General features: G+C 41.0%; 3 annotated features.

Annotated features, from left to right (window-relative positions):
- Nucleotides 3,573–4,074: an enhancer, noted in NCBI's record as "OCT4-NANOG-H3K4me1 hESC enhancer chrX:93747347-93747848 (GRCh37/hg19 assembly coordinates)". NCBI's record gives its function as "activates a minimal SCP1, AML or CMV promoter by ChIP-STARR-seq in naive and primed H9 embryonic stem cells {active_cell/tissue: H9 hESC(naive and primed)}" and the evidence as "EXISTENCE:reporter gene assay evidence [ECO:0000049][PMID:30033119]".
- Nucleotides 4,075–4,574: an enhancer, noted in NCBI's record as "OCT4-NANOG-H3K4me1 hESC enhancer chrX:93747849-93748348 (GRCh37/hg19 assembly coordinates)". NCBI's record gives its function as "activates a minimal SCP1, AML or CMV promoter by ChIP-STARR-seq in primed H9 embryonic stem cells {active_cell/tissue: H9 hESC(primed)}" and the evidence as "EXISTENCE:reporter gene assay evidence [ECO:0000049][PMID:30033119]".
- Nucleotides 9,181–9,694: an enhancer, noted in NCBI's record as "NANOG hESC enhancer chrX:93752955-93753468 (GRCh37/hg19 assembly coordinates)". NCBI's record gives its function as "activates a minimal SCP1, AML or CMV promoter by ChIP-STARR-seq in naive H9 embryonic stem cells {active_cell/tissue: H9 hESC(naive)}" and the evidence as "EXISTENCE:reporter gene assay evidence [ECO:0000049][PMID:30033119]".

Genomic DNA, 10,443 nt, shown 5'->3' on the forward strand with positions numbered 1-10,443 from the left:
TTAAATGAAGGAAAACACCTTCAGAACTCATAGAGAGCTGAAATGTTCATGAATATCAAAAAAGAGTTAACTTCATGAACTGAATTAATAGAAGACTGAAGTAATCTTTTTGACTTTTTGCTTAAAACGTTGCTGATCCTTTTTTTTTTTTGGAGTCAAGAAACTTGTCTTTTAAGCTATTTACAGATTTAAACAATGGAGTTAAATATATTTCTGTGAACAAAATTTGGAGCGTATTTCTTTCTACCTAATTTCTCTAGAATTTGGAAACTTTGTGAGTATTTTTAACTTATGGAAATATAGTTATTTGCATAAGTGCAATAAGAAAGTTTCCTTTTGCAACAGGACACAATTGGAGAAACTGCTTGTTTTACCAAGGTTTTTACTGGAATGTGCTTTCCTTTAAGGAATCAAGCTTGACTTGAAGATCCAATAAAAGCCCACTGGAAAAACCAGCCTGATGCCTTGTCTGCAGAGTTCCTGTATAGGATTTCTGACCTGTGATAACTAAAGAATGTCACTTTCTCACAAGTCCAGCAGCCCCAAGTTATCTTGGGACCTCAAGAGGAGAGGAATTTGCTCACCTCGTAGGTATTTGAGGGTACAAACCCATGGCTGGGCTCAGCTGAAAAAAGAAGTCTTATTTGAAAGAGTTCCATAAAAGCGGATTTAAAAGCCTATGTGAAAAATAATTATCCTTGCTTCACTTTATACAGATAATAATGCCAAGCATAAGAATAGAGCTTGTTCTTTTACAAATAAATTGGTGCTATTAATATTTTTTAATAAGAATAGGAGACTGAAGAGAGAGAAATTATATTTCAAAACAAACTATTACACCTATTATATTCTACTCTTGCCTAATGTTTTTCAATTTTTATTATTTTCAGCAGTTTGAACTGAATTCTAAAATGTTTCCTGGCTACACTTCTCCAAAGTCATGTCTCCAAATTGTTTTCTTCTTTCTTTTCCCACTTTTTCCCCATTTTTCCTAATTTGAAATAACTGTAAACTAAGCTGTGCTTTCTTAAAGCCCTGCAAAATAAAGCTACACAACTTAAACTTTAGAAGGAAATAACAGCAACCTATTTACATACATAAGCCAATCTCATACACGCCTAATGATATATGAACTTCAGAGTAATATGGCCTATATTGATTTTCCAAGATTGTTCTTTTTTGTTTGTTGTTGTTTTTCTCCCTTCTTCCCCCCATTTGCCCTTTGTAGGAAATGAGACTTCACAACCTGCTAAAAATGAGCTTTCCTCGTAATGTGAGACCTACCTGTCTATTAATAAACTATTCCAACCATGAGAGATAAGACAAAACCTGAGACCAGAGACTCATTGTTTTTTCAAAAATGCTTCTTCTGAAAGATTTTATTAAGAAAACAGGGGAAATGTGAAAGGAAAATAAATCTTGGGACCCCAAAATTACTAAGCTAAAGGGAAAAGATGAGCTGGAAACTGCTTAGGGCAAACCTGCCTCCCATTCTATTCAAAGTCATCCATCTGAGGCTCACCTGAGACAAATGCATATTTGATTGATCCTTTGTAGGGGTTCAGTCAGGATGGTGGGAAAAATTGTAAAATAAACCATCTTGGAAGGCCAGAAGGTTTTTGCAAAAGCCTCAGGATAGAGTTATGGCTGAAGGCAGCCTAATCCTCTTCGAGCTATAGCAAGGGTAATTTTTTTTTATGTATATACTTTAAGTTCTGGGGTACATGTGCACAACATGCAGGTTTGTTACACATGTATACATGTGCAATGTTGGTGTGCTGCACCGATTAACTCATCATTTACATTAGGTATATCTCCTAATGCTATACCTCCCCCTTCCACCCACCCCCCAACAGGCCCCGGTGTGTGTCTATATCTCTGTTTTGGTACCAGTACCATGATATCAAGCATTTTAAACTTTTTATGCTTTTGGTTACTGTAGCCTTTTAGTATAGTTTGAAGTCAGGTAGCATGATGTCTCCAGCTTTGTTCTTTTGGCTTAGGATTGTCTTGGAAATTTGTGTTCTTTTCTGGTTCCACATGAACTTTAAAGTAGTTTTTTCCAATTCTGTGAAGAAAGTCATTAGTAGCTTGATGGGGATGGCATTGAATCTATAAATTACCTTGGGCAGTATGGCCATTTTCATGATATTGATTCTTCCTATCCATGAGAATCAAATGTTCTTCCATTTGTTTGTGTCCTTTTTTATTTCATTGAGCAGTGGTTTGTAGTTCTCTTTGAAGAGGTCCTTCGCATCCCTTGTAAGTTGGATTCCTAGGTATTTTATTCTCTTTGAAACAATGGTGAATGGGAGTTCACTCATGATTTGGCTCTCTGTTTGTCTGTTATTGGTATATAGGAATGCTTGTGATTTTTGCACATTGATTTTGTATCCTGAGACTTTGATGAAGTTGCTTATCAGCTTAAGGAGATTTTGGGCTGAGATGATGGAGTTTTCTAAATATACAATTGTGTCATCTGCAAACAGGGACAATTTGACTTCCTCTTTTCCTAACTGAATATCCTTTATTTCTTTCTCCTGTCTTATTGCCATGGCCAGAACTTCCAACACTATGTTGAATAGGAGTGGTGAGAGAGGGCTTCCTTGACTTGTACCAGTTTTCAAAGGGAATGCTTCTAGTTTTTGCCCATTCAGTATGATATTGGCTGTCGGTTTGTCATAAATAGCTCTTATTATTTTGAGATATGTCCCATCAATTCCTAGTTTATTGAGAGTTTTTAGCATGAAGGGCTGTTGAATTTTGTCAAAGGTCTTTTCTACATCTATTGAGATAATCATGTGGTTTTTGTCTTTGGTTCTGTTTATGTGATGGATTATGTTTATTGATTTTCATATGTTGAACCAGTCTTAGCAAGGGTAGTTAACATAGGAATGTAGATGCTCTCTACTCGGGGTGGGGGGGCAGCAATGGTAATTACCTTCAAGTGGTGTTTACTTGAGACTTTTGTCATTTAATGTGTGCTGAATAAATGCTGGAAAGGCCAGTGAGTTGGGTCCAAGGTTGCAACTCTTACAGCACTCTCCTGGGAGTCTGTAAGCAGCCTGGACTCTTAGCCAGACTGAAAAGCATAATATCTGTGTCAGTGTACGTTATTCATTCATCCTTGGGTCAGGGTCTGTGGGACTCACCCCCGCAGCTGGTGCATGTGTGAGGAACGTTGTGAAAGAAGCACAATGGACCCCCCAAAAACGGAAGTGAAAAGGACCATGCGGTCAGTGAGTAATCAGTAAGTCATTGGTGTCCACTAGGGATTTCCAAGTTTGGTGGGGGATTGTTCAGGCTAAGGTTTCATCATGGGACAACAGTTATCAGCGCAACAGAATCAGTATATAAAAGTATTGAAACAGCTGCTTAAGGCTAGTGGAGCCTCGGTTTTGCAGGCTCAATTAAGGGACTTAATGCAAACTGTTGTAAATCATAATCCATGGTTCCCAAAGGAAGGAACGCTAGATGTAGAGCTCTGGGAACAAGTAGGGAGAAATCTTAAACAACATGATGTGCAATGGCAATGGGTCCCAGTATCATCTTTAACACTATGGGGTCTAGTAAGGATGGCTTTGGTCCCATTATACACAGAAGAGCCTAAAAAGAGGAAGGAGGAGGAATAGTCACCTACTTTACCGCCTCCTTGTCCCTCAGCCCCAATATCACAGGGCCAAAATAACAAAGAGGAAATGGAGGTCTTGCCTGTGCCTCCTCCTCCAATAAATAGAAAAAAAGGCGAGAGATACATTACAGCTATGCAACCCTGTCTTAAGCAAGCGGCATTAGAAGGGGAGCTCTTAGCCTGCCTGGTAATGCAAAATCAATGAGCCAATCAGGTACATAAAGAGTTAAGAAAAGGCATTAGAGAATGGAGCTGTGGGGCCAAGTGAGCAGTAGATAGAAAGAAAGGCTTGGCAGCAGGGAAGCTCACAAACTCAAAGCCAGCAAAAGCTCCCGGGAACTCAGCCTGCATGGTGGGGGGAGGGAGGGGAACACACAAGTGAGAAGCGGCACAGGTGAAAAGCAGCGCAGACAAAAAGTGGCTCGTTTGCAAGAGCAACGTGGCCACCGCCCCGGGGTCCACCTGCTCAGCTCTCCAGCTTTGCAGGCGGCCCACGGCAAAATTTCATGTGTTCCTTGTATACAAGTGACATCCCAGATTATAATTCTCTGCTAAGATTTAAGTAAAATTTAAGAATTTAAAATACCTCTTTCTGATAATGGCCACAGCTGTTATGTCTCTCCTACCCCTAATGCAACTCTCTCCAAATCCAATTTAAGTAAAACAGTAACCTCTGAAAGGAGAGAAATTACAGAAAGCCCACAACTGCGGCAATTCTTCAAGATTGGCCTATAATCATTATTGACTTAAAAGACTGCTTTTATACGATTCCCCTAGCAGAACAGGACAGAGAAAAATTTGCATTTACAATACCAGCTATCAATAATGACAAGCCAGCTTGTCAATTTCATTGGAAAGTGCTTCCTGAAGGAATGCTAAACAGTCCTACCATGTGTCAGTATCATGTAAATCAAGCTTTGCTCTCTAGTAGAAAAGAGTTTTCTGATTGCAAGATTATTCATTTTATGGATCATATTGTACTAGCAGCCCCAATGGAGCCAATGCTTTTAAATTTATACACCTCTGTTGTAAAGAATACACAGCTAAGAGGTTTAATCATTGCACCTGAGAAAGTACAGATGTCTTCTCCTTGGAGATATCTTGGGTACATACTAACTTCCTGGTCAGTAAGACCTCAAAAGGTTAAATTAAATACTAGCAACTTACACACCTTAAATGATTATCAGAAATTACTAGGCGATATTACTTGGCTCCGCCCCACCTTAGGCATATCTACCGATAAGCTGCAAAACCTGTTTTCTATCTTAAAGGGCAATCCAGCTGTGGATTCTCCCAGATATTTAACCCCTCCAGCAAAAAGGGAAACCAAGGTAATAGAGCAAACCGTCTCTCAGAGGCAGCTAGATCACGTTGATCGATGGTATTCAATTCAATTGTTTATTTTTCCCACTAAAGACTCCCATACAGGATTAATAGGACAGATGGCCCCCGGGCTACACTTCCTAGAATGGGTTTTTTGCTCACATACCGGGACTAAAACACTATCTCCCTATATTTGGTTACTTACTAAAGTCATCTATTCAGGCCACAAATGATGCAATCAGTTACTAGGTTATGACCCTGATGTCATCAGGATTCCTTTAAGTAAAACACAATTCGAAGCAGTATTGCCAGTATCTATCGATCTGCAAATAGCTTTCTCTGATTACACAGGACAAATAAAACATGTCCTCCCTGCTGATAAAATCCTTAATTTCTTATCTCATACTCTGGTAATCTTGTTCACAAAAATAGTTCACTCCCCCATACCTAATGCTTTAACACTGTTTACTGATGGTTCTGGTAAATATGGAAAAGCAGCAGTCTGGTAGGGACCACATAATTCAATCACTCAATCTGGGTTTGCTAGCACTCCAAGAGCTGAGACTGGGGCTCTGATATTGGCCTTGGAAACTTTTTCCACTCAGCCCATAAATATTGTGAGTGACTCAGCTTACTCTGTTTATTTATTGCAGAACCTTGAAACAGCCTTAATTAAGTCCACTCTCGAGCCCACCCTGTGTGCTCTTTTTCTTTGACTTCAGCAATTGCTAGATCAATGTACACATCCTATTTTTATCACACACATTCGAGCCCACAGCTCTCTGCCTTGCCCATTATTTTATGGCGATAATCAAGTAGACCTTCAGATTATCACATCACTGCTTGACCAAGCCACACAATTGCATCAATTTTTCCACCAAAATTGGAGAAACTTATCTAAACAGTTTCAACTTACCCAGAGGCTGGGTAAACAAATTATTCTACAATGCCCAGATTGCCAGCTCACAGGCAAGTCCCCTCCTTCCACAGGTGTTAATCCTAGAGGACTAGAACCTAATCAATTATGGCAAACAGATGTTACACACATCCCTGAATTTGGAAAACTTAGATATGTACATGTATCCATTGATACCAATTCTCACTTAATTAGTGCCCATGCTTTGCCTGGATAATCAACCCGGTATGTCATTAAACATCTTCTAACTTTTGCGTTTATGGGACGGCCCACAAAAATTAAAACTGATAATGGTCCAGCTTATGCCAGCTCACAATTTCAACAATTTTGTCACATGTGGAATATACAACATTCCACAGACATCCCACATAACCCCTAAGGACAGGCCATAGAAGAATGTGCCCACTCCACACTTAAAAATATGCTCAAAAAACAGAAAAGGGAGAGTATGGGTAAAGACCCTGCAACACTATTGGCACAAGCCTTATTTACCCTTAATTTTCTAAATTTAGATGACAAATTTCAATCAGCTGTAGAAAAGCGCTTTGCTAAAACCACTCAAAGCATAAAACCTTCAGTTTTATGGAAAGATGTGAACAGTAACGTATGGTGTGGTCCAAGTGAATTATTAACATAGGGAAGAGGGTATGCTTGTGTTCACACCCCCTCAGGTCCCCTGTGGATTCCAGCACGACACATCAAACCATACCATGGTGTGGCTAGGACCCAACCTGATAGCAGAGATGAAGGAACCAACCCTACCGGACCCGCAGCCCTGGACGATGCAGCTTCCACGGACGACACAAGCCCCGGATGTTACCTGGGGGATGCCGAAGAGGACAACTCAGGAGGCTGAACAAATTCTGCTTCAGACACAGACACCATTTACTCCAGGTAATTTGCTCCTTGCTATGCTTTCTGTTGTACATTGCAACTCACGTAGGGTATTGATCCTTTTTATGCTCTCGCTTTGTCTGCCACCTGCACCTGCTACACTCTATTGGGCTCATTAGATCTGCCTTTCTTTTGCCCTGTCACCTGGGCAGACACCGCCTTCCCAGCCTATAATAATGTGACTGCTTGGCTAGGAGGGATAGATTTACCCCCAGTGGGTCCCTCAATAATGGCACACATTGGACTAAGGTACCAGATAACACTACATATCACCACTATCCTCCCACTGTGTGTAAGTTATAAAGGCTCTAACCCTAGTGCAGTGGCGCGATCTCAGCTCACTGCAAGCTCTGCCTCGCAGGTTCATGCCATTCTCCTGCCTCTGCCTCCCGAGTGAGTAGCTGGGACTACAGGAGCCCGCCACCACGCCCGGCTAATTTTTTTGTATTTTTAGTAGAGACGAGGTTTCACCGTGTTAGCCAGGATGGTCTCCATCTCCTGACCTCGTGATCCACCTGCTTCAGCCTCCCAAAGTGCTGAGATTACAGGCGTGAGCCACCGCACCTGGCCCTTTTTTTTTTTTTTTTTTTAAAGATGGAGTTTCACTCTTGTTGCCCAGGCTGGAGTGCAATGGCACGATCTCGGCTCACTGCAACCTCCGCCTCCCAGGTTCAAGCAATTCTCCTGCCTCAGCCTCCAGAATAGCTGGGATTACAGGCTTGTGCCACCACACCTGGCTAATTTTGTATTTTTAGTAGAGACGGGGTTTCTCCACGTTGGTCAGGCTGGTCTCGATCTCCCGACGTCAGGTGATCCACCCACCTCAGCTTCCCAAAGTGCTGGGATTACGGGCGTGAGCCACCATGCCCGGCTAGGCATCTACTTTTTGTACATTAATCTACTCCTATCCCAGTTGGACCTGCAGGTGTTTTCAGTTTTCCTCAGTGACCCAACTCTTATTATGGCTACATCATGGCAAAGGAAATGCCTTAACAGCCTTAGCTGCAGGTAGCCTAAAACCAGGTAATGCAATAAATGCTGCTTTCCCAAACATTCTTTCCTGTGTTAAAGGACAAAGCCGGGAAAGTAATTGATTTCACTTTAGCTAGGAGGTCTGTCATGGGGGACAAGCCTGTAGCCTCCAGTTAGGCAATTATAACATTTTAGACTGAAGCCCCCACGGCCATTTGCAGGGCAGCCTTACTAATGTCCTCATCCATCATGGCATCAATCACAGTTTTGTAGCCACGTCCTGTTCCCCTATGATTTGGGCCAATGAGGGGATGGGATATCCCAGACCCCAAGTAAAATCCATGCCACCCCAAGATATTTTATGGCTCCTGGGACATCTTGGCACCTCCATTGACACCTGGCATGGGACATATCATAATTCCAGTAACAACTATACTATAACCTTTATTCATAATCACACTGATTATGAATTTGATTATGATTATGCCTAATTTGTACTACCCATCCATATGTTTCCTTATGGGAACCAATATTTCCATTACACCCCAAAACTCCGCGTTTGTGACCCAGGTGCAGGGACAGGCTTGGTTTGTGTTATATATCACTAATTACAATATATCTGATCTAAATGTTACTAGTGTCATGGTATTAAGGAGACAATCTGAGGCATTCCTACCAATTTGACACATGATTAGCAAGGTTCCTCTGCCCTTGCCACCTTAGAACATGCTCTATACCAGGTCAGACACAAAAGATTCATAGTTACACTTACAGCCTTTATAGTCTTTATAGTCTATAGTCTTTATAGCCTCAGCCATAGTCATCCTGGCGACTGTTAGTATTGCTGTGGCATCTGTTACTGAGTCAGTACAAACAGCTGCCTTTGTACATACTCTGGCCAAAATGGGTCTAATTAACTTCTCTTACAGCAGGGTATAGATCAAAAAATTCTTGCACGTCTGCAAGCCCTCGAGGCTGCTTCGGAATATGTGGGGGAGCAACAAGATGCCCTGGCATTCCAACAGCAATTAAACTGCGACTGGGAGCATAAACATATCTGTGTCACTTCTCTATGATGGAATCAATCAATACCTAGTTGGGATGAGGTGAAACAACACTTCTGGGGAACCTTTCATGATAATTTAACAGCAGACATAAAGCAACTTAAAACTAAAATTTTAGAATTCCTTCACACTATAGATCTACACACCCAACAAACGGCCATATGGAAGGATGTGCAAGATCACCTCTCCGGGTTAGACCCCCACTCCTGGGGTCACTCTTTGATTGGAAAAGAATGTTGCTAATTATACTTATGATTGTCTTATTTTATTTACTAATTCTAGGATGCAAAGCCAGAATAAGAGCAATGACCACCACGCCTGACAAACCTGCTGCTGCATACATCTGTGCTCTCCAATCAATAAGACCTGATGCAGAAAACAGAAAAGGGGAAGAGTTAGGGATTCAGTCAGGATGGTGGGAAATTTTGTAAAATAAACCTTCTTGGAGGGCCAGAAGGTTTTTGCAAAAGCTTCAGGATAGAGTTAATGGCTGAAGGCAGCCTAATCCTCTTTGAGCTATAACAAGGGTAACTAACATAGGAATGTAGAGGAGTCTATCTAAATAGCTTGTTTGCTCATGTGGTCCTAAGACTGACTTTTGACCATCCACGGGTGCATGATTGCTCTCTATTCAGGGGTTGGCAATGGTAATTACCTTCTAGTGGTGTTTATTGAGACTTTTGTCATTTAATGTGGGCTGAATAAATGCTGGAAAGGCCAGCAAGTTGGAGCCACGGTTGCAACTCTTTACAACACTCTCCTGGGAGTCTGTAAGCGGCCCAGACCCTCAGCCAGACTGACAAGCATAATATCTGTGTCAGTGTACATTATTCATCCATCGTTGGGTTAGGGTCTGTGGGACGGACCCCCACACTCCCTCTTTCCTATTATTTATGTAAAAGTGCACATTCAGTGAGCCAGACTGAATTCTGTATTCAATGGAAGACTGATCAAGGACTCAAAAGAATTCAACCTTTTTCCCTTATCTACTTCTAACCCAGAAGCTCCTGCTTGGAGTTGTCCCACCTTACCAGACCACTTAACGTACCTCTTACACATATTGATTGATGTTTCATATCTCCCTAAAATGTATGAAAACCAACTGTACCCCTGACCACCTTGGGCACATGTCTCAGGGATTCCTGAGGCTTTGTCACAGGCAGGCACATCCTTAACCTTGGCAACATAAACTTTCTAAATTGACAGACATGTCTCAGATATTTTGCATTCACATTTGTAATTAGTACAAGGGTCTGATTTTTAAAAATTTAACATTTGAAATATAATCATAGCCAACAGTGGAAAATAATTGCAGTATCAAAATAACAATTACTAAGACCGAGGTTTGTAATAGAATATTCTCTATTATATTCTAACTTCAATTTCAGTTTTTCTCATTCTCTTTTTATTCTCCAATGTCTGAACTATTTCTAATGTTCTTTGTTGGAAATCATTTATCAGTTTAATGAACACATTCAAGGAAGGCTAAGCATAGAGGAGGAGTATGGAAGATTTGATTCTTTTATTGCACACACAGTATAACTACCCATCTCTCATATAGCTGACACACACACTTCAAACATTAAATTAACTAGAATGAAAACCTCATTCTGAACTCTGATTTTCCATACATAGCAAGCAGC

This window comes from Homo sapiens, chromosome X (assembly GCF_000001405.40).
Source record: "Homo sapiens chromosome X, GRCh38.p14 Primary Assembly".
Lineage (NCBI taxonomy): Eukaryota > Metazoa > Chordata > Mammalia > Primates > Hominidae > Homo > Homo sapiens.